At 44.2% G+C, this 24,443-nt stretch overlaps 1 protein-coding gene and 1 pseudogene across 10 annotated transcripts; one reads left to right on the top strand and one right to left on the bottom strand.

The window, feature by feature from the left end:
* VN2R14P (vomeronasal 2 receptor 14 pseudogene) lies at window positions 135–369 on the top strand (annotated as a pseudogene).
* ZNF439 (zinc finger protein 439) lies at window positions 2,505–23,265 on the bottom strand. 10 transcript variants are annotated; one of them, NM_001348720.2, is made up of 5 exons: window positions 23,061–23,265; window positions 22,678–22,738; window positions 5,660–5,795; window positions 5,394–5,454; window positions 2,505–4,685 (listed from the first exon to the last, which is right to left on the bottom strand). In NM_001348720.2, the coding sequence occupies exons 3-5, from the start codon at window positions 5,793–5,795 to the stop codon at window positions 3,422–3,424; spliced, it is 1,461 nt and encodes a 486-aa protein (NP_001335649.1). In that variant the 5' UTR covers window positions 22,678–22,738; window positions 23,061–23,265; the 3' UTR covers window positions 2,505–3,421. The 10 variants fall into 10 exon arrangements, with proteins under 10 accessions (NP_001335649.1, NP_001335652.1, NP_001335650.1 ...); NM_001348723.2 differs by having other exon boundaries at window positions 5,660–5,786; NM_001348721.2 differs by having other exon boundaries at window positions 22,678–23,265.
* Between the last annotated feature and the right edge of the window lie 1,178 nt (window positions 23,266–24,443).

Here is a 24,443-nt window from a genome sequence, read left to right as displayed (position 1 = left end):
TATTTTGCTAAATCTTTGTAATTCACCAATTTATCTACTATACTTTGTTGTGGAAGTTTATTCATTTTTCTCAAGCTGTAAGAAAAGATTTTCCCTATTTCTTTTCCCAAAGCTAAACCCACCAACATCACTGACTTCCAAAATTAGTGGCCTTCCTGGCATACGAAGATCCTTTGGGCCTGTGCTCCAGTGTCCTCTTTGGGGTGCTCCTTGGGCTCTTTGTGAAGCATCAAGACACCCCAATATCTAGCCTAATGTCAGGCTCTCCAGTGTGTCCTGTTCATCACCCTCACCCTGCACTTCTATTGTCACTGTCATTGGCTATTCCAACACTGTGCTTGCATCCTGTGGAAAGTCACATTTGGGGTCAAGTGAATGGTGTTGTTTCTACTCTTTGGTGAAAAGTATCAGGGTGCATTTGGCCTTCAATTCAGAAGGATGAGGCAGGGGTTGGATTCAGGTGCACCCAACTTTTTTTGTGTGTGTGTGATGGAGTCTCGCTCTGTCGACTAGCCTGGAGAGAGCAATGGTGTGATCTCAGTTTACTGTAACCTCCACCTCCCAAGCTCAAGCGATTCTCCTGCCTCAGCCTCCTGAGTAGCTGGGATTACAGGCACACACCATGATGCCCAGCTATTTTTTTGTATTTTTAGACGAGACAGGGTTTCACCATGTTGGCCAGGCTGGTCTTGAACTGCTGACCTCAAGTGATCCACCTGCCTCGGCCTCCCAAAGTGCTGGGATTACAGGTGTGAGCCACCATGCCTGGCCAGGTTTCACTGCCCTGTCTTCCCTGTTCTGAGTTACTTTGTGTGATCCGACAATCAATGACTCCTCCCTTCACTGATGTGGATACATTATCTGGGACTGGGTGTGTCACCTCCACACACAGACAGGGCTTGGTCAGTGATTGATTCTGCATCCTGTGGTGCCTAGATTTAGACTATAAGGATTTTAAATAACTGTTTCTGAAGAGCAGCTTCACTGGACCTTACAGGAAGTGACAGAATTGTTCTAGCCATTGCATTATATATAAAAGTGACTTTTCCATGTTACCGTTAACTTTACACTGCTGAGATAAGCAGGCTGTTGACAAGTTAGCATCAACAGCACATTATCAGAGGAAGAAAGGCTTTTATTTAGACAATTTACACAAATTTATTAGCCTCCTATGACTCAGTAAAGCAATTTGAAAAAAATATAGCTTTATAAAGCGTAAATGAATTTATATATTTTAACTAAGGTACCTTCTAGTTAACAGTGCCCATACATTTTAGAAAATGTTTTAGTCTTTACAGAATAAGTAAGGCAAAAACAGGTCCAGAAGTCTATAGCTGACCTCCCCTCACCACAAGGCCAAGTTGTTTTTGTTTTTGTTTTTGTTTTTTCAGAAAGAGTTTCGCTCTTGTTGACTAGGCTGGAGTGCAATGATGGGATCTCGGCTCACTGCAACCTCTGCCTGCCAGATTCAAGTGATTCTCCTTTCTCAGCCTCCTGACTAGCTAGGATTACAGAAGCATGCCACCATGGCTGACTAAGTTTTGTATTTTTAGATGAGACAGGGTTTCATCATATTGGTCAGGGTGTTCTCGAACTCCTGACCTCAGGTGATCTGCCTGCCTCAGCCTCCCAATGTGCTGGGTTTTCAGGTGTGAGCCACCACACCCAGCCAAGGCCAAGTCTTTTACTGTTGGAGAGACACATGTTACATATCAGGCATATGAGATGATGCTCCTCAGTGATCATGATGGACCAGGACAAAAACAAGGGCATTTTGTAACTGTATTTCTAAAACTGATAGAAGTAAACATATTTCAAATCATAAACATGACGAAAATTTTTATCTTCTTACCAATGTGACTTGTAATTCTCATACATCCCACAGTCATTTATGTCTTCTGGTCATATTTATCACTATGGTATATTACACCCTTGCTGACAGCAGGTATGGCGCTGCTGGTTTTGGGCAAGAAGGTACTCAGAGATACATGAGATAACTTTTGGTATTATGAGTGAAAGAAAAATTAGGGTTGAGGCTGGGCGCAGTGGCTCATGTCTGTAAATCCAGCACTTTGAGAGGCCGAGGCAGGAGGATCACAAGGTCCAGAGTTCGAGACCAGCCTGGCCAATATGGTGAAACCCCGTCTCTACTAAATAATACACATAATTAGCTGGGTGAAGTGGTGCATGCCTGTAGTCCCAGCTACTCAAAAGGCTGAAGAAGGAGAATTGTTCAAACCTGGGAAGCAGAGATTGCAGTGAGCCAAGATCACACCACTGCACTCCAGCCTGGGCAACAGAGTGAGGCTCTTTCTAAAAAAAAAAAAAAAAAAAAAAGAAAAAGAAAAAGCAAAAGGAAAAAAAAAGAAAAATTACAGTTGAAATAAAAATTAAAGTACATAAGCATGAAAAGTAAAGTTTACATGAGGAAAAATATGCCTGGCATTTAATCCAGGTAATGCTGATTCACAATATCCAAATAATAACAATGTAACATTATAAGCTTGATCTAATACATGACACCAATGGATATTTTATTATAGCTTCTTAATTATTTAAAAAGAATAACATTTGTTAGTATACAGTTATTATAAACAGTTAATTGTTTACATTCATTATTTGTATTCAAAGAATCCTAGCCGATCTGAAGGCTTTCCCATACTGCTTACATTCATAGAGTTTCTGCCAAGTGTGAGTGCTTCCATGCATTTGAAGTCTTGAGGCTGATCTGACGGCTTTCCCACATTGCTTACATTGATACGGTTTCTCCCCAGTGTGAGTCCTTTCATGATATTGAAAAGAACTGGAAGAAGTGAAAGCTTTTGCCACATTGCTTACATTCATAGGGTTTCCTTCTGGTGTGTCTTTACATGTCTATGAAAGCAATTAAGCAAGCTGAATGCTTTCCCACAATCCTTACATTCATACGGATTCTCTCTCGTATGAGTCCTTTCATGTATATGCAAGGAAGAAAAATAATTGAATGCTTGTTTGCATTCCTTACATTCATAGGTTTCTCTCCAGTGTGTGTTTTGCATGTATTCAAACGATCTTGGCAGATATGAATGCTTTCCCACAATGCTTACATTCTTAGGGCGCCTCTCCTCTGTGCAACTTTCATGTATTTGAAAAGAAGAGAAATTATGGAACGCTTTTCCACATTTCTTACATTCATAGGGTTTCTCTCCAGTGTGTGTCCTTTCATAAATTGAAAGGTTCTTGACAGATCTGAAGACTTTCCCACATTGCTTACACTCATAGAGTTTTTCTCCACTGTGAGTCCTTTTAGATATCGAAAGGAACTGGAACAATTAAGGCTTTACCACATTGCTTGCATTTATAGGGTTTCTCTCCAGTGTGAATTTTTTCATGTGTTTGAAATAACTTGGCAGAATAAAAGTGTTTCCCATATATCTTATATTTATAAGGTCTTTCTCCAGAGTGCATTCTTATGTGTTTGTGTCCTTTCATGAAATCGAAAGTTCTGGACATATCTGAAGGCTTTCCCACATTTCTTACATTCATAGGGTTTCTCTCCAGTGTGAATCCTACGATGGATTCGAAGTTGTGAGGCAGATCTGAAAGCTTTCCCACATTCCTTACATTGATACGGTTTCTCTCCAGTGTGAGTCCTACCATGCAATTGAAGATTTGGGGCAGATCTGAAGGCTTTCCCACATTGCTTACACTCATAGGGTTTCTCTCCAGTGTGAGTCCTTTCATGATATCGAAAGGAACCGGAACGAGTGAAGGCTTTACCACATTGCTTGCATTTATACGGTTTCTCTCCACTGTGAGTTTTTTCATGTCTTTGAAATGACTTGGCAGAATAAAAGCCTTTCCCACATGTCTTACATTCATAAGGTCTTTCTCCAGAGTGCATTCTTATGTGTGTTTGAAAACTTGTAAGAGAGGATAATGCTTTCCCACACTGCTTACATTCATAAAGTTTTTTCCTAGAGTGGGTCCTTTCATGTCTACGAACATAACGGGGACACATGAATGCTTTTCCACATTCCTTACATTGATAAGCCTTCTCTCCCATGTGACTCCTTTCATGTCTGTGACAGGATCTGGGACTATGGAATGCTTTCCCACATTCCTGACATTCATAAGGCTTTTCTCCAATGTGAGTTCTTTCATGTATTCGATGGGTAGCAGAATAACTAAAAGATTTACCACATTGTTTACATTCATACGGTTTCTCTCCAGTGTGAGTTCTTTCATGGATAAGATATAAACTGAGACAATGGAATGCTTTCCCACAAAACTTACATTTATAAGGTCCATCCCCACTGTGCACTACCATGTGTCTTTGAATGCTTGAATGGTAAATAATGTTTTTTCCACATTCTTTACAAGCATAGGGTTTCTTTCCAGTGTGATCCCTTTCTTGTGTTCTCAAGGAGGGGTGATATCTGAAGGCTTTTTTAGGTTGTTGACTCTTCCATGGCTTTGGTCCATATTCCTGACATTCACATGCCTTGTGTCCAGTGTCACCTCTGATGTTCATATTAGAAGATGAGTTACCTAGGCCAACTTCACACACAAAGCTGTCACATGATTTTACTTCAGGAGAAGCTTTCTTCTTCTGGAAGTTCAGCCTGTCATCTGGAACTGGGGTAAAAGTTTCTCCACAATGACTGTCTTCTTTAATTTCATTGACTTTCTCTTCTGTGACACTCCTGTCAAAAATGAGAAACAAATTATGAAGAGTTTGTTTATAAGTAATTTTATATTAATCAGCAAGTATTGTACTTGCATTTTTAACACTCTCCATCAAAGTGTAGGCTTTCTGCCCTGTCTGAATTGTTTGAAGGTGACTGGACAACACATTCTACAAGGTGACCTAGCCATACCTATTATTTAAAAAAATGTTTATATGGGGCTTCTTAATACTCTTCCCATGTAAACTATTTTAAAATACTAAATACTCTGTGTCATTTTTCTTTTGTTTCAGGGTCTTGTCCTGTTGCCCACCCTGGAGTGCAGTGGTATCATCATAGCTTACCACAGCCTTTAACTCCTGGGGGCTCAAGTGATCCTCATGTCCCTCATGTCTCAGCCTCCTGAGTAGCTGGGACTACGGATGCATACCACAATGCCCAGCTAATTTTTTGCTGTTGTTGATATGTGGTCTTGTTATGTTGCGCAGGCTGTTGTTGAACTGCTGGCCTCAAGCTATCCTCCTATCTCCATGTCTCAAAGGACTGGGATTACAGGAGTGAGCCCTCAGCCTTGATCACATTTAAATATATATTTTTAGATAAAATATTGTATGAATAAATGAACTTGATCCTGGACTTAGTTCTTTGTTTTACTTATTTTTAACATAGTCTCATATTCTAAGATCGTGTAGAGAGACACTGCTTTCTCTTATAAGTGCAAATTACCTGAAGTTTCTCCTGGGGTTTTGGTACTCATATTCAATGTTCTGGTCTTTCCACTTTTTTCCTAAAATACAAACACAGAAAAATAATCCTGAGGCAGTATAAAATTGTGAAAAAATTATTAGACCTATGCCCATGATTTACAGCAGCCATGCCTCATTTATTCATCAAAGTATTTCCTGTCTGTGTTCCAAATCACTCAACAGCATTGGTGAGCTAGAAACATTGGTAAACTAATGCACTGAGGGAAGGAATATTGTCATCCTTACCTATAGAGGTCAGGTTCCAGAAAGTTTCCAGCATCACTTCCCTGTAGAGATTCTTCTGGGAAATATCCAGCAAAGCCCACTCCTCCTGGGTGAAGTTCACAGCCACATCCTTAAAAGCCACTGGGTCCTGAAACATCTCACATGTGTAGAGGAGGATGGGTGAGAGTGACAGCATTGGGGGCCTAGACTCTATTCCCAAGAAGTTCTCAGGATGCCGTGGACTCCAAACATTTATTCCCTGCTTTGGTCATCAGATCCCTTTCTCTCTGTCTATACTTACTTTCTTCCATAAAGCAATTTTTTTTTTTATTTTTTTGAGACAGAATTTCACTCTTATTGCCCAGGCTGGAGTACAATGGTGCAATCTCGGCTCACTGCCGGGGTTCAAGTGCTTCTTCTGCCTCAGCCTCCCGAGTAGCTGGGATTACAGGCATGCACCAGCATACCCGGCTAATTTTGTATTTTTAGTAGAGACAGGGTTTCTCCATGTTGGTCAGGCTGGTCTCGAACTCCCAACCTCAGGTGATCCACCTGCCTCAGAGTCACAAAGTGCTAGGATTACAGGCATGAGCCACCACACCCAGACAGCAATTTTTTTTTTTTTTTTTTTTTTTTTTTTGTGATAGTGTATCGCTCTGTCAGCTGCTTGGGCTGTCCCTAATGTCTCCTTGGACTGTGGGTCTGTAGCACCTGTCATAACAGAGTACTATGAATTAATATGCAGAAAAAAGTTAACATTAGCAGTCCTGAAGCTGTGTATCCTTGAAAATGCCTGTTCCCAAAGTGTAATCTTTGATGACATTGTTAGAGAAGGCAGATATCTAGCCAAGAGCAGGAAGGGTAGCCCCTGGGAAATCCCACAACCCCAGGGACCACCCAAAACAGGCATGCTAGATATAAGCAGAGAGGAGGGGAGACACCTAAGTAGAAAGAAACATCCATTATGATGCCCAGGAATCATTCAGTTTGCAGTTATCCTGTCAGAATGTAGCTAGATAGATGCTGATAAGAAGGGCAAACAGGACATTACTGAAAAAAACAAGACCGTAATTACACAAGAGGGCAAACAAGAAACTCCTAAGAGATACCCAGGTGTAATGAGCACAGATTTAACCACTATACGACCTTCCTGGGGTGGCAGTAATGAGCAATGCAGCCACCCACATATCCATTGATGGCTGAATGGATAAACAAAATGTGGTAAGCATATACATACAATGGAATATTATTTAGTCTTAGAAAATAACATCTTGGCCTGGTGCGGTGGCTCATGCCTGTAATCCCAGCACTTTGGGAGGTGGAGGCGGGCAGATCACCTGAGGTTGGGAGTTCAAGACCAGTGTGACCAACATAGAGAAACCTTGTCTCTACTAAAAATACAAAATTAGCCGGGCATGGTGGCGCATGCCTGTAATCCCAGCTACTCAGGAGGCTGAGGCAGGAAAATTGCTTGAGGTTGGGGTCAGTCAATATTGTGCCATTGCACTCCAGCCTGGGCAACAAGAGTGAAACTGCATCTCAAAAAAAAAAAAGAAAGAAAGAAAACAATATCTTGGCCCATACTACGACATATATGAAACATCAGGATAATTGCAAAAGGCAAAATACAACAGAATTCATCTTAGAGAACTTACATAGATTTGTCAACCTATCTCAATTGTACATGTAAAATTCCTTAAGCTGATAATTTTTAAGTTTTGTTTTATAGTAAGTATTGATAACAAATCACGGTAGCAGCCAGGCGTGTTGGCTTATGCCTGCAATCCCAGCACTTTAGGAGGCCAAGGTAGGTGGTTCACTTGAGGTCAGCAGTGTGAGACCAGCCTGGCTAACATGGTGGAACTCCATCTCTACTAAAAACACAAAAATTAGCCAGGCGTGCAGCGAGTGCCTGTATTCTCTGTTACTTGGAAGGCTGAGGTGGGAGAATCCTTTGAACCCGGGAGGCAGAGGTTGCAGTGAGCCAAAATCCCACCATTGCACTCTAGCCTGGGCGACAGAGTGAGACTCCATCTCAAATCAAACAAAAAATGAGAAGAATGTCCTAATAGAGGCAGAAAAGGCATGTGACAAGCCTTAACCCATTTGAGCCCACTGTTCCATTTCTGGAACGCTAAGCATGTGGGAGTTATTTGTATCCTACTGCTCAAGGTCATTACCAAAGTCTGATTTTTCACACGTCTGCAATTCAAAAAATTGCAACCTCTAGCATAAATGGGTTGATATCTCCTCATGATTAAAAACACTTAATAAACTAAATATACAAGAGAAGATTCCATATGATCGCAAGAGAGGCACTAGGAACATAGAAAAATCTACTATAAAGACAAGTATTAAAAATGCAAAACCGGAGGTCAAGGCGGACAGATCATTTGAGCCCCGCAGTTCGAGACCAGCCTGGGCAACATAGTGAGACCCTGTATCCATAATAAAATAAATAATTAGACATGGTGGCACAAAACAAATGGTACTGAAACACCTGGATTAGCAAATGCAAAGAAATGAATTAGACACAGAACTGAACCTTTTACAAAACTACCTCCTGATGAATCATTTACTTAAATGGAAAATGCAAAACTCACAACTTCTAGAACTTAACACTTGTGAAAACCAAGACAACCTTGGATTTGGCAATCAGGTTTCACACACAACACAAAAAACATGATCTGTGAGTGAGAAAATCGATAAATTGGACTTCATTCAAAATAAAACTCTGTTTGGGAAAAGAGTCTGTTAAGAGAATAAAAAGACAGGTGGCAGACTGGGACACAATATTTGCAGGACACCTATCTGATCAAGGACTGGTACCCAAAAGATATGAAGAACTCCTAGAATTCTATAAGAAAAAAGCCAACTAATCAAAAAATAAAAAGGCCGGGCATGGTGGCTCATGCTTGTAATCCCAGCACTTTGGGAGGCTGAGGAGGGTAGATCACTGAGGTCAGGAGGTTGAGACCAACCTGGCTAACATGGTGAAACCCCGCCTCTACTAAAAATACAAAAATTAGCTGGGCGTGGTGGCATGAGCCTGTAATCCCAGCTACTCGGGAGGCTGAGGCAGGAGAATCACTTGATCCTGGGAGGCAGAGGTTGCAGTGAGCTGAGCCGAGACTGTGCCACGGCACTCCAGCCTGGGCCAGAGAGCCAGACTACAACTCAAAAAAAAAAAAAAAAAAAAAGCAAAATCTTTCCAAGCATACCTCTCTCTAAAGAACATAATTATGGCAAACAAACATATGACAGGATGCTCTACATTACATGTTATTAAAGAGCAAATGAAAACAGGCTGGGCACGATGGCTCATGTCTATAATCCAACAGTTTGGGAGGCCGAGGCAGGTGGATCACCTGAGGTCAGGAGTTTGAGACCAGCGTGACCAACAAGGTAAAATCTCATCTCTACTAATAATACAAAAATTGGCTGGGCATGGCGGTACATGCCTGTAATCCCAGCTACTTGGGAGGCTGAGGCAGAAGAATCACTGGAACTGGGGAGGCAGAAGCTGCAGTGAGCTGAGATCACGCCATTGCATTCCAGCCTGGGCAAAAAGAGCAAAACTCCGTCTCCAAAAGAAGAAAAAAAAAAACAACAGAAAACAACAATGAGGTAACAGTAAATACCTGTTGCGGTAGATGAAATCCAAAACACTGATACTTCCAAATGCTGGTGACAGTGAACTCTCATTCACTAGGGATGTGAATGGAAAATTCTACAGCCAATTTGAAAGACAGTCTGTGGAGTTCTGAAGAAAATAAGCACGGTCTTATGGATTCAGTAGTCTCATTCCTACATATTGACCCAAGTGAACTGAAAACTGATGTCCACACAAAAGTCCTCCCACAAACATTTTTAGCAGCCTTACTCATAACTGCCAAAATTAGAATCAAACAAGGTGAGTCTTAAAAAAAAAAAAATAGAGGAGTTCTCACACTGTATCTACCAGGCTGGTCTCTAACTGCTGGCCTCAAGCAATCTTCTCACCTCAGTCTCCCATGTAGCTGGGAATTCAGGGATGAGGCATCACACCAGGCTCAAGATGAGCCTTTCAATAGATGAATAAAGAAACAAACTATGGTAACATCCGTACAATGGAATGTTACTCAGTGATGCAAAAAAATGAGTGGCCGGACATGGTGGCTCACAAGTGGAATCCCAGCACTTTGGGAAGCTGAGGCAGGAGGATCACCTGAGCTTGGGAGTTTGTGACCCTGTCTCTAACAAAACAAAAAAATTTTTTAGATAAATAAATAAAAATAAAAACTAAATGAGTTGTCAAGCAACAAAGTTATTGCGAGACCTTCAATGCATATTTTTACATGAAAGAAGCAAGTCACCCCATTTCTGCCACCCAGGACCAAGAAAAGATAGGAGAGTGCACTAAAGACACAATACTCCTTTATGTTTCCAAAGGGGAGCCTCAACCAAAAGACAATCTGATGTCTGTTTCCAGGATAGATGAAAGGAGGAGCAGCACACATACTTTTACGGGAGAGTGACTGGTGGTGATTCCCTGAACATTTCACATAGAGGAAAGGAGAAGCGCTCAATGACGATTTCCCACCAACATGGCATTGTGTCCCCTGTGTACCCCCAGGTATATTTTGCTTTTGCAGGCTATTGTTCCACCCTGTTGAAGTGGCCTTTCCTCTTCTTTTGGGATATTTCTCTCTTCACAGTTGAGAAAATCCAGAAGACAGGAATCATTTCTGTTTTCCCTCAATAGCAACATCCAATTGGCTGACCAGCCATGTGTCTCCAATTAATGGAAACTGGAGTTGGGAGGGAGAAGCTGAGAACTCAGAGAATTGGTTATCTAGATGAAGCGTATACCAGGCATCTCTGCCACCATAAGGCATTCAGCTGCTCCCTTGGGAGGCCCCACTCCCCTAGGCACTGATACCCACTAGACCCTCCAGGAGACATGGCAGTTGTGGGGAACTTGAGTCAGCCCGAGGCAGTTCTAAAACCCAAAACCAGGAAAAGATAGGAGGGTGTACTGAAGACACATCACCCTGTACAGTTTCCAGAAAGGAACCGCATCCCAAAGACATCCTGATAAGGTGTCTGTGTCTCGGAAAGATAAGAGGAGGAGAGGCAGAAAGGATTTTTCAGGCAAATGTCTAGTGGTTATTCTCTGCTTTCCTCTCATGTGAAATGTTCAGACACAGATTTCACTGCAAGCCCTTGAAGAGTTAGGCTGTGGTATGAGGGTGGAGGATTTGAGGCCCTGCATCCCGTATATTTGGAGAATGCAGGGACAAACCAGTCACCCTGGAGAGTATGAACAAATTTAAATAAGAAGCAATGAGGCCGAACCGTGTGTAGTGTCCTAAGGTCCTACCTAAGGGTTGGGAGCCAAAGACTTGAGGGTCGTGACCAACTCAGCATTCCACTGGAGGTTATATGATCATACAGTAAACTGTTTATCATCAATGCAGAATGTGGGCAAACTCGTGTCTGCACCTGCCGCCAGAAGGTACACTGAGGACAATCACCCTGGCGCTGTGCTGCTTGAGGTTATCTACTGGGACATCTGGAGCCTATTGTTCAAAGAATGCAGTCATGCAGGCCTGCTCTAAATCAAGCAGCTGACCTACAACCACCCCCTTCTATCTCCTTTAATCAATAAATACGAAGGGCACTAGAAGCTCAGGGCCCTTGTTCACTAGAAGCAAGGTGCCCCCGACCCCTTCTTCCAAACATATTCTTTTGTCTTTGTCTTTATTCCCGCGTTCGTCCTCCTTTGTTCAGTATAGTAGGGTTCATGGCAAAGCGGCGGCCGTGAACAGGGACTTGAGGATGTGAACGAAGAAAGCTTGCTGGAGCAGAGGAAATGAAATTCACCACACAAATGGGGACCCCAGGATATCTGCCGGCAGCTGATATAAAGTCAGTGCCCTAAAGAGATACTGATCAGTGCCCTAAAGAGGTACTGGGAGCAATATAAGGTAGGTGCTCTAAAGAAGTACTGGGAACAGGAAGTTTCTGAATCAGGGTAACATGGGGCAGTATTTGTCTATTGAGGAGCAAGAGACAATTTTTTTTTGTATTTTTAGTAAAGACGGGGTTTCACCATGTTAGGCAGGATGGTCTTGATCTCCTGACCTCATGATCCACCCGCCTCGGCCTCCCAAAGTGCTGGGATTGAGGAGCAACATTATGTGCAGTTGCTTAAAGTTTTACTTAAACAGTCTGGTGCTCAGGTTAGTTCTCAGACACTAAGATGCTGCAGGAGGTTATTATGCATAACCCATGGTTTCTGCAGACAGGCACTTTCGATGTGGAAAATTGGGACACAGCAGGTGAAGGATTAAAATGGGCTCATCAAAAAGGTCTAAAAGTTGATCCTTCTGTTTTCTCCACTTGGAGTTTAGTCCATACTGTCCTTCTGCCGTTATCTCCTTCTTATTCTGCTAGACAGCTGGAATCATATTCTGAGTCTAAAAATCTGAAAGAATCTTTTGTCCCACCCACAGTACCAACTGAAAATAATAAACAGGAGAAGGAGGATAAAAATTGGCCTATACCGCCCCCTCCAATAGCAGAAACATCTGTACTGCCTCCTTCGGTAGCAGAAATAGAGACCCCAAAACAAACAACTTTATGCTCTGCTGCCATAGCTGGAGAGCCCTTAGGACCTTGCGTTTTTCCTATTTCCATAAGGCCCGATTCAAATAATCCACAGCAGTTTATTCATGAACACACCCCCACTAGAGTTTAAGTTGTTGAAGGAATTAAAAGCTAGTGTAGTTAATAATGGAGTACAGAGCCCATTTACTTTAGGATTACCAGAATCTCTTTTTGGTGCTATGCGCCTTATACCCTTTGATGTAAAGCATTTGGCTCAGATTTGTTTGTCTGCTAGCGCATACCTAACACGGAATTTAAATTGGGAAGAAATGTGTGCAGACCAGGCTAGACAGAATCATGCTACTGGACATAGAGACATTACAGAGGATATGCTGTTGGGTAATGGCCCTTATTCAGACCTGGAACATCAAATGGCACTCCCAGACGCTGCTTATAAGCAGTGTGCACTGGCTGCTAAATGTGCCTGGGCCACAATTCCAGAGGAAGGGGTTCCAGTACAATCCTTTTTACATATCACGCAAGGGTTGCAGGAGCCCTGTGCACATTTTCTTGAAAGATTACAAGAGGCAGTGAAGAAACAGATTCCTCATACCATGGCTGCAGAGATGCAAACCGTAACTTTAGCTTTTGAGAATGCAAACGTAGATTGTAAATGTGCACTAGCACCTGTGAAGTATACAGAAGAGTTGGGAAATTTTCTCAGAGCTTCTCAGGATGTAGGAACTGAGCTTTATCATTCTACAATGTTAGGTCAAGCAATGGCTAATTTAGTAGTTGACAAATCTAAAAAGAGCCAAGGGTCAAACCCTAAAATGGGATATCAGAGCAGAAAAGGCTTAGAAAAGTCCCTACAGGGAAACCCTGATCCTATATCAATAAGTGGGCAAACAGATAGAAAAGGGCTAGGAGTCAGGATTTCTGATGGGGGTCATTGATACTTCTCCTTCACCTACTGCCTTACCATTAGAATGGCTCAGTGACAAACCTGTGTGGGTGGATCAATGGCCCCTATCACAGGAGAAACTAACTCAACTTCAGCAGTAGAAAAAGAGCAACTGGATGCAGGCCATAAAGAGGAGTCGGTTAGCCACTGGAATTCACCAGTGTTTGTAATTCCAAAGAAGTCAGGAAGATGGCGACTGCTGCATGATTTGAGAGCTATTAATGCACAAATTAAACTGATGGGTGCATTACAACAAGGCTTGCCATCTGCAGCCGTCATTCCTAGAGACTGGCCTCTTGTAGCAATAGACCCCCTTTTTTTTTTTTTTTTCCGAGATGGAGTCTCGCTCTGTCGCCCAGGCTGGAGTGCAGTGGTGCGATCTCGGCTCACTGCAAGCTCCGCCTTCCGGGTTCACGCCATTCTCCTGTTTCAGCCTCCCAAGTAGCTGGGACTACAGGTGCCTGCCACCATGCCTGGCTAATTTTTTTTTTTTTTGTATTTTTAGTAAAGACGGGGTTTCACCATGTTAGGCAGGATGGTCTTGATCTCCTGACCTCATGATCCACCCACCTCGGCCTCCCAAAGTGCTGGGATTACAGGCGTGAGCCATTGCGCCCGGCATAGACCTTTCTTTACTATACCCTTACACGAGAAGGATAAGCCTGGATCTGCCTTCTCTGTGCCTTCTATTCATCCAAGAGAACCTGTTTCTCTTTATCAAAGGAAAGTTTTACCCCAAGACATGCTTTACAGTCCTACGCTGTCAGCATTTTGTAGGACAAACATTGAAGGAGACTCTGAATATGTTTCCTACTGCTCACATCATTCATTTCATGGATGACATTCTTTTGGCCACTCCTACAGATCAAATCTTACATCAGTTATTCAGAGAAAGGAAGCAGGCTTTGACTAAATGGAATCTCAAAATTGGTCCAGAGAAAGTACAAGCAACTTCCCCATACCATTACTTAGGCACTATTGTTACTGAAAGAAGTGTTCGGCCTCAGAAAGTAGTTCTCCATAAAGACAGGTTACAGATTTTAAATGATTTTCAACAGTTGTTAGGGGATATTCATTGGCTGTGCGCAATGCTAGGTATTGCAACTTATCGACTCAAACATCTTTATCAAACCCTGCAAGGAGATTCTTCATTAGATTTCCCCGCAGCAATTGACCAAAGAGGCAGAAGCTGAGTTGCAACTTGTAGAACAGATGCTTCAGCAGAGACATGCCTCATGGCTGTAGCCGCAAAAGCCTTTGCTTATTCTTCATACCCCTCATTCTCCAACAGGACTCCTGGGCCAGTGCTTAGACAAGTCTGTATCAGTAATAGAATGGCTCTTTCTACCTAATCAAACAGTTAAAACCTTGCAAGCCTATCTTCCTTTAATTACACAACTTGTGACTATAGGTAGGCATAAATTAAAAGTGCTTATGGGGTATGATCCAGACGCAATTATTGTTTCCTTGGATTCCCAACAACAGGCCACAGCATGGGAAATATCGACTGTGTAGCAAATTGCTCTTGCAGATTTTGTGGAAATAATAGACAACCACTCTCCATCGGACAAAGTTTTACAATTTTATAATGTCTATTATTTTATCTTCCCTGTGATTACTCATCACGAGCCTATTCCAGGTGGTCAGGCCTATTTTACCGATGGCTCTTCCAAAGGGCGTGCAGCTATGTTGGGACCTAAACATACTCAGACAATAAGGATCTCTGGACTTTCAGCTCAACGCTCAGAGTTAATTACAGTCATTCTAGTTTTAGAGCTCACAGCTTCAACTCCCATTAACATTGTCTGTGATTCAGCCTATGTCGTAAATGTAGCCAGTCGCATAGAAACTGCTACAATTAAAAGCACACTAGAGCCAGAACTGCTTAGCTTGTTTCTAAGACTTCAACAAGCTGTTCGCTCTCATGCTGCTCCTTTACATATTTCTCATATTTGCTCTCACATACAACTCCCTGGACCACTATCTCTAGGTAATGATAGAGCAGATAAACTGGTTTGTTCTGTATTTCAACAAGCTCAAACTTCTCAGGCAATACTGCCTCAAAACACCTCGCCCTTACTCGTATGTTTCACCTGCCTCACAGCCAGGCTCGAACTATGGCGCAAGCCTGTCCCACTTGTCAGCATGTCCCTGGTGTTATACCTGTGGAAGGATGCAATCCACAAGGCTTGGCTCCAAATGAAATTTGGCAGATGGATGTTACACATATAGCAGCCTTTGGCAAGCTTAGCTATGTTCATGTAACTATAGACACTTAATCTCATATGCTGCATTCTACATGCCAAACAGGCGAGACAGCTGCTCATGTGCGGTGACATTGTCGGTCATCATTTGCTCATATGGGGATCCCTAAACAATTAAAAACGGACAATGGACCTGCTTATACTTAGCCATGTTTTTCAAAACTTTTTACAGTTATGGGCAATCACCCACAAAACAGGAATACCTTACAATCCCTGAGGACAAGGCATTATAGAGTGGGCACATCAAACATTACAATGCATGTTGAAAAAACAGAAAGGGGGTATAGGAGACCAGCTACCACCTCAAATAAAATTACATTTAGCCTTATTTACTTTAAATTGTTTGACTCCTGGTCTGGATGGTAAGACTCCAGCAGAAAGACATTGGCAAGTGTTAGAGGAAAAGAGGAAAGTTTATCTGAAAGTGTTATGGAAATCCCTGGAAGAAGGACAATGGAAAGGTCCGGTGGATTTACTGACATGGGGATGAAGGTATGCTTGTGTTTCTACAGGAGATGGACACACCATGTGAGTGCCCTCAAGGTGCGTGCCACCATGGAACGGGAAACTGGAGGGACCCATGGTGGCCAACAATGGGCTTGGTCCCTCCGGTACAACCCATGAGCCAGCTGAGCCTGAGTGTGAAGACGGAGAGAAGGCTGACCGGAGTCACAACGACATCAACCCCCATAACCTGGGGACAACTCAAGAAAACCATGCAAGAAGCTGAGAAACTACTGGAGCGTCAGGGACAGGCAAAAACCCCTGATGCCATGTTCTTGGCCTGTCAGCCATAATGTCCTGTGCAGTATGTTTTCCCTGTACAGAGGTAAAAACATATTGGGCATATGTTCCCAATCCCCCAGCAGTACGGCCTATACTTTGGAGTGACGCTCTTTCTGAAATCTATCATGATCAGGGACCGTGGGCTCCAGGACCCCTAACTCCCCATGGCATAGAACAGTTAGACTCTTAGAACAATGTCATCAATTATACCACCCCACTAGAAGGACTCCCTTTGTGTATCACCACAGAGATGTCACTCAACAGTAGCTGTCTTATAATTCAAGCTCAAGCATGGTGGAATCACTATGGAAAAGTCATGTACTTATTATGTTTTGGTTCCATTAATGTAACTGGTGTGCTAACCAACCATTCCCGGCCCAGTCGCCCCACCTGTGCTGACTATATGGAATGGATTCCCTTCCATAGTTCCTACCCCCCTCCATGGACCCAGAGTCTTGGCCCATAGAAAACAATCTATGTTAACTGCAGACATTGTGGATTGGGGACCTAAAGGTCAACTACATGGAAAAGATGAAAATTAGAAATCATGGCACAAACTTGGCTGGCATTGGTGGTAAGCTTTTAATACTTCTTCTTTATACCACACCGGGATCCAATCCCAGTCTGCTGCCCAGATTGCTTGGTGTGGAGCAGGCTTTAGCTCACCTCTTCCTCAGTGGCATTATCCAGGCAGGCAAGGACCAATCCAAAAGACGTTATGGAAGGCAGCACCTTCATTTATGAATGGCAGCATCGGGGTTGGGATACTATCCAATAATAGCAATAGTAAGCAACACAGTTTTAATGCTACACTTGTAAAGAATATCACCACTCAGTTTACGGTTTGTGTTTTTAATCCTTATGTCTTTTTGGCAGCTAAGAAGGATTAGCTCCAGGTAAACAATACCCAATTGACCTGTAAATCTTGTCAGTTATATCACTACATTAATCATAGCACATTGCAAATACATAATATCTCTTTTTTTTTTTTGAGACAGAGCCTTGCTCTGTTGCCAAGCTTGAGTGCGGTGGCACGATCTCGGCTCACTGCAACCTCTGCCTCCTGGGTTCAAGCAATTCTCCTGCCTCAGCCTCCTGAGTAGCTGGGATTACAGGTGCCCGCCACCATGCCTGGCTAATTTTTGTATTTTTAGTAGAGACGGGGTTTCACCATGTTGGCCAGGCTGGTCTCGAACTCCTGACCTTGTAATCCACCTGCCTTGGCCTCCCAAAGTGCTGGGATTACAGGCGTGAGCCACTGTGCCTGGCCACAAACACATAATATCTCTACTTTGATGATTTTGGGTTGCATCCCTGGGCTATGGATTCCCATTAATCTGTCCAAGCCTTGGGCTGCCACCCCTGCTTTGCACTTTGTGAAACTTCTTCTAACTCAGCTTACTCATCGTGCCCGTAGAGCCTTAGGCATGATAATTTTGGCTATTGTTTCCTTGGTCACACCAAAAACTTCTGTTGTGATGTACTCCATCACTTTGCATAGTTCTATTCAAACAGTTCAGTACGTGCAGAACTGGATGCATACAGCCAACCAAGTGTGGCTACTTCATAATAGAATTAACACTGAGTTACAAACTGAAGTGGCAATGTTGAAATCCATAGTTCTATGGTTAGGGGAACAAGCACAAAGCTTACAATTGCAACAGCAATTGTGCTGTCATCTTAATGCCACTCATATTTGTGTAAACAACTTAGAATACAACCAAAGTGAGCATCCACGGGACCTTTGATATTGGTGAACTGCAAAACAAAATTCTTGACTTAAATAAGCAAACTCAAGAGTTTCAGCCTTCCTTAGAAGTCTGGAGTGAATTCCTGCAAGGCCTAGAGAGCCTCAATATTTGGACCAATCTAAAGCACTATATTAACATCTCATATATAGTTATTGGAATGATGTTGTTTAGTCTCTGTTTTTTGTTCATAGTCTGTAAAATCAGATGGACCGCCAATCAGAAAATGAGAGCTGCCCAACCTGGCCTTACATTCATTCAATTAATGCATAAACAGAAAGGGAGAGATGTTGGGAGCCCAAGGCCCAAAGGTTGTGACCAACTCAGCTTTCCACTGAAGGCTATATGATAAACAGTGAACTGTTTATCATGAATGCAGAATGTGGGCAAACTCACATCTGCTTCTGCTGCCAGAAGGTATACTGAGGACAATCACTCCCTGGTGCTGTGCTGCTTGAGGTTATCTACTGGGACATCTGGAGCCTATTGTTTGAAAAATGCAGTCATGCAGGCCTGCTCTAAATCAAGTAGCTGACCTACAACCACCCGCTTCTCTCTATCCCCTTTACTCAGTAAACATGAAGGGTGCTAGAAGCTCGGGGCCCACGTTCACTACAAGCAAGAAGCCCCCTGACCCCTTGTTCCAAACATATTCTTTTGCCTTTGTCTTTATTCCCGCATTCGTCCTCCTTTGTTCAATCCAGTAGGGTCCGTGGTACCTAACGACCCTGAAATCAAATTGAAATACAACTCTTGAAAATTACTAATTTAGGCCAGGCGTGGTGGCTCACACCTGTAATCCCAGCACTTTTGAGAGTCCAAGGCAGGTGGATCACGAGGTCAAGAGTTCGAGACCAGCCTGGCCAACATGGTGAAACCAAGTCTCTACTAAAAATACAAAAATTAGCCAGGCGTGGTGGCAGGCGCCTGTAATCCCAGCTTCTCAGGAGGCTGAGGCAGGAGAATCGCTTGAAACTGGAAGGCAGGGGTTGCAGTGAGCCGAGATTGCACCACTGCACACCACCCTGGGCAACAAGAGTGAAACTTCGTCTCAAAAAAAATAAATAAATAAAATTACTAATTTATAGAAAAATGAAATTTATGCTTAATCAGGCACAGTCCACCAATTAACCTCTGATTACATAACTAGAAATTTTCTACCTATATAGGCTGTTGGAAGAAGTAAGTCAGGCCAGCCATGGTGGCTCACACCTGTAATCCCGCCACTTTGGGAGGCCAAGGTGGGTGGACCACTTGAGGACAGGAGTTGGAGACCAGCCTGGCCAATGTGATAAAACCCTGTCTTTACTAAAAATACAAAAATTAGCCGAGTATGGTGGCATGTACCTGTAATCCCAGCTACTTGGGAGGCTAAGGCAGGAGAATTACTTGAACCTAGGAGGTGGAGGCTGCAGTGAGCTGAGATTGCACCACTGCACTCCAGCCTAGACGACAGAGTGAGACCCCGTCTCAAGACAAACAAACAAACAAAAACAACCAAGTAATTCAAATATTTAAGCTGGTGCATCTCTAAACTGTCTTGAAGCAATGTGATCATGGGGTTGAGTCACATGACACACAGCTTTCAAATAGCCAGCTGGAACACCTCTTTCCTTGATTACAGATTCGCCTTCCTTCTTACCTATACTGTTTTATAAAATGTTGTAAATGACTGAAGGGAAACAGGAAAGACCCTTTCCCTCTTTGCTATTTTTAATTTATTTAATATGATTTTTCACAATTGAGATGGGGGGTCTCACTATGTTGCCCAGGCTTGAACTCCTGAGATCAAGCCATCCACCTGCCTCAGCCTCCCAAAGTGCTGGGGTTACAGGTGTGAGCCATCCCACTGGGCCCCTCTTCACTACTGATCTCTGTAGTAGACTAACTTCCCTCTTAACTTTCTCACACAAAGACTTCATGGCTATCACATTGTCTTCAGTTGGAATGTTGAATTCACTCTTTTAAATTGAAAAGGAAATAAAAACCAGCTAGAAAGAAAAGAAAACAAGCTCTGGGGGAAAAAAGCAAACGATAACAAATTAAGTTGTTAGCCAGGTGCACTGGCTAACGCCTGCAATCCCAAGACTTGTGGAGGCCAAAGAAGGAGGACTGTTTGAGGCCAGGAGCTAGAGACAAGCCTGGGCAATGTATCGAGACCCCACCTCCATAAAAAATTAAAAATTACCCAGGTGTGGTAGTGGGCGACTATAGTCTCAGCTACTTGGGAGGCGGAGGTGCTCAAGATGGGGAAGTCAAGGCTGCAGTAAGCCGTGATGGCACCACTGCTCCAGCCTGGGCCACAGAGCAAGACATTGCCTCAAAAAAAAAAAAAAATTAAATTATTGTACCTCATACATCAGCCTTCTATGGAAAATGTAATCCTATTATATTTATTTGCCGTTTCCCTATATAAGTGTTAGGGAAGCAGGTGCCTAGGGGAGCCAGAGAAAGACCAACCAGCTCCATCTTGAGACTAACAAGAAACACTCCTTGCCAGTCACAACCCATAGTCATAAAATGTTTCCCATGAAGAAAACAGCCTGAAGATGCCTGCAAGTATCCTTACACTCCCACAACGACAGAATGTCCCGATGTCCCAATACCCCAATACCCATAATATGTGCTTTCAAGGTAATTATAGTTATGCTTTAATGCACTTGTGCACTAAAATGTAAAGGATAGTTTTCTTTAAATCAACAGAGTAATAAATTTTGTGATGCTGTCAGCCCACATGCAGGTAGGCACAGCTTAGTTTATTCTTTACATAGACAAGATCCCTACATAAGAAAAACTTAAGACAGTACATTCCTCCTCTTGCTGTATGAGGATGCCCTACTCTGTAACAGAGAAGCTTTCTTTCTTCTTCTTCTTCTTTTTTATTTTTTTAAATAGAGACAGGGTCTCGCTGTGTTGGCCAGGTTGGTCTTCAACTCTTTTTTGTTTGTTTGTTTTGTTTTTGTTTTTTGAGATGGGGTCTCACTCTGTTACCCAGGCTGGAGTGCAGTGGCGCATCCTCGGCTGGGCTGCAACCTCTGCCTCCCAGGTTCAAGTGATTGTCCCACCTCAGCCTCCTGAGTAACTGAGACTACAGGCACAGGCCACCACATCCGGCTAATTTTTCTTATTTTTGGAAGAGACGGGGTTTCGCTAAGTTGCCCAGGCTGGTCTCGAACTCCTGAGCTCAAGTGATCCTCTCGCCTGGGCCTCCCAAAGTGCTTGGATTACAGGCCTAAGCCATCATGCTGGCCCAGAGTAGCTTTCAATAAACTCTCTTCGCACTGCACTTTGTGACTCGTCTTGAATTCCTTCCTGTGTGAGATCCAAGAACTCTCTTGGGGTCTGATCAGGACCTCTTTTTTCAGTAATATAAGCAAGAACATAACTTCCAATTTTGGAGTACTGAGTCCATTTTTCTGGAGTCTGTGTTTTGGTCATTGCTATCTTTCTGCTTGAATAAACTCTTCCAACTGAAATCTGAACCTTTTGATTATTTCCGGTTGACAAGTCCAAATAAGGCGACTGCATCTCTGCAACCAATCAAGCATTTATCTGGTTTGTCTCCTCATGTACCTTATAAAAGCCTAGCCTTAAACATGTAAAACAAAAATAAAAACATATCTTCTGGCATGGCGATGTGGCTCACATCTGTAATCCCAGCACTTTGGGAGGCCGAGGGGGGTGGATCACTTGAGGTCAGGAGTTTGAGAACAGCCTGGCCAACATGGTGAAACCCCATCTCTACTAAAAATACAACAATTAGCTGGGGGTGGTGGTGCGTGCCTGTAATCCCAGCTACTCAGGAGGCTGAGGCAGGAGAATCCCTTGAACCCAGAAGGCAGAGGTTGCAGTGAGCCGAGATCGAGCCATTGCACACCAGCCTGGGCGACAGAAGGAGACTCCGTCTCAAACAAAAACAAAAACAAACAAAGTACCTTCCCAGCTAAGTGAAGTGACTGGCTCTTGGCCAAGGGAACCCCCAAAACACCCTGAAAATTGAGTGCCTCTGTATGACAGGATGGGAGGTGAGACAGGTCTCCTTATACCCTCTCCCTTTAGGAGTTTACATGCAGCAACTGACGCACATTCATGTAAAAACAGACATTCTCTGACTGGAAAAACAGACTCCTTGTGGCAACAAGATACCAAATTACAAACAAGACCTAAGGCCACGCAAGGCAAAGGTAAAGTTACGTCTTAGAATTCATAAAATCTAGAGAAACAGGACTGTTTTTTGGCTGGGATGGAATGAAGTGGCAGATAACAGACCCCCTTCCTTCAGCATTCCTTCCTACCTCCTCCAAACTTTAGACAAAGCTTCACACTCTCAACCAGCTGCCACCTACAGAATCCCTCAACCACCTGTGCCTCCTAACCCCCCTTCCACAGGTCCCACCCTTTCTGCCAATGGAATTTACACCTTCCAGCCTTGATCCATCATTTTCCCTGCAATTCCTGTCTCTCTGAAATGAATAAAACCAAACTGTCCTGAGCCGCCTCCGGACCACTTACTCCAGGCTGCTTGGGGTTGTGTTTCCCTCGGCCAAGGTCTCTCCTACTCGGCTCTGAATACACTTCTGTATTTTACATAGTCTGTTTTTTTTCCGTTGACAAACCACAAGCCAGGACCGGGTGTTTCTCATTCGTGAATGGCTGTTTCCTCAAATGAACTTTTTGTTAACGTACCTCAGTATAATTTTTAACAGGAGAAAGTGGAGGCTGTGGGCCCCACAGACCGCTGCTCCTCCTACGGACGAAATCCACACCCGAGTCGAAATCCGCGCATGACCCTCCCGTGGCCCCCGCACAAGCTGGGGCGTCGGGCTGCGGGCGCGGAGCTGCACAAAAGGGCTTCGGGGCCAAGGCCGCAGTCGACGGGCAGGGACGGGACAGGACGCCCGGAGTCCCGGCTGCCGGCCCACCCACATCCAGCGGCCGCGGGGACCGAGGGCCGAGCAGCTCTAGGAGGACTCGGTCCCAGACCCCGGAGTCGCCCACAGGGAGGCCCGGGTCCCGCCAGTTCCAGGCAGCCCCTCCCCCATCGCACCACTCCCGGCCAGCACACGCACCATTTCCCGGCTTTCAGATGTACCGGGGTCCTCTCTACAGCTCCTGTGAGTAAAGCAGGGCATAGCGCAGGTGACAGAGCGACAGAAATCTGGGTAGAGGCACTAGGTCCCTCTCGGGGCTGGAAAGGCCAGATCCCAACCGCCGCCCTCGCAGCGACAAAGGTGACGGCAGGAATGCAACATCCTCCGTGCCTGGATGCACAGTGGGCAGGGCCCCGAGCCAGTGCCTCTGATTGGATGGAATGTTCGGCCCCGCCCCCCACGTCTAAGTGACAGCGGAAGCCCTGGGTATCAGGCCCTGCGGAGCCAGACTGACAGATTCTAGCAACAGCTTCTCTAAGCTTACACGAGCTGCTTCCTGCACTCGGGTTATTGGATAGTTGCATTTCAGCCAAACTTGCTATTGTTAGAAGAGAACACTAGCGTCTTCCTCACTCAAAGGACTGTCCCCGCTCCTTCGTTCTGCACGGGGTCACAGGAGTGTGCAGGGAATTTCAGACTCAGTGTCCACAGGAGCCATCTCCTGCCTCAGAGCAGCAGGGGAACCGAGACCAGGCCAGGCAAGACTGCACCAGGAGGAGAGGCATATTTCCTCGAGCGGGCCGGAATTGGGGATGAGGCATGGCCAAGACTTGCTCACACACCCCCATCCCCTCCTCACAGTATGAAAATGCTCCGTCCTTCCAGATCTTCATTTTCACCTGCAGGAAACTCTCACCTGGGGTTAAGCTTCGGACCTAAATAAACTGTCAACCTCATAAACCTTTTATCCAGGTGACGCCACCAAACAATTGTGTCTCTAGCCTGATTTTCACACATTTTCTTTATATATACAAATAACTCTGACTCCAGCGACCCCATGTATGTCAAACCCCAAACCCTGCCCAGAAGACAGCCCCAGGCTCCAGAGGTACAACACCAGAAAGGACAGAACCCCACAAATGCGTCTGCACGAAGGTCTTCTGCTTTCCAGGGCCCTACAGCTTCTCGGAATCCACACTCCTTCTGGAGCTGCTCTGAGCAGCTGGAGGCCACCTGTAGGGGAGGGCGGGCTGCCCAGGAAGCCCCCAGGAAAAGCTCCTTTCCCTTCCTTTGCAGGCTCCAGACTGGCCTCAGCGTGGAGTCACTGGCCTCGGGCTCTGCTGCCCCTGCAGGTTATTCAGCTACTTCTCACCCCATTGATCAGTTCCATGACACAAACACCCTCAATCCCATTGTGTGAATAAGACACCAGCAGAGTCCCTGCTCTCCTCCTATGTTTATGTATAAAGTGGGGAAGGAAAATTCTAAGATAACTTAAGTACATTTAAAAGACTTCCAGATCGCGGTGGAGGTGGCAGCGGAGGGACCCACGGTCACTGACACTGCAGCACCTCCAGGCCT

Source organism: Homo sapiens, chromosome 19 (assembly GCF_000001405.40).
Source record: "Homo sapiens chromosome 19, GRCh38.p14 Primary Assembly".
Lineage (NCBI taxonomy): Eukaryota > Metazoa > Chordata > Mammalia > Primates > Hominidae > Homo > Homo sapiens.
The sequence above is the reverse complement of the archived record's forward strand: the minus strand, read 5'-3'. Positions and strand labels throughout refer to the sequence as shown.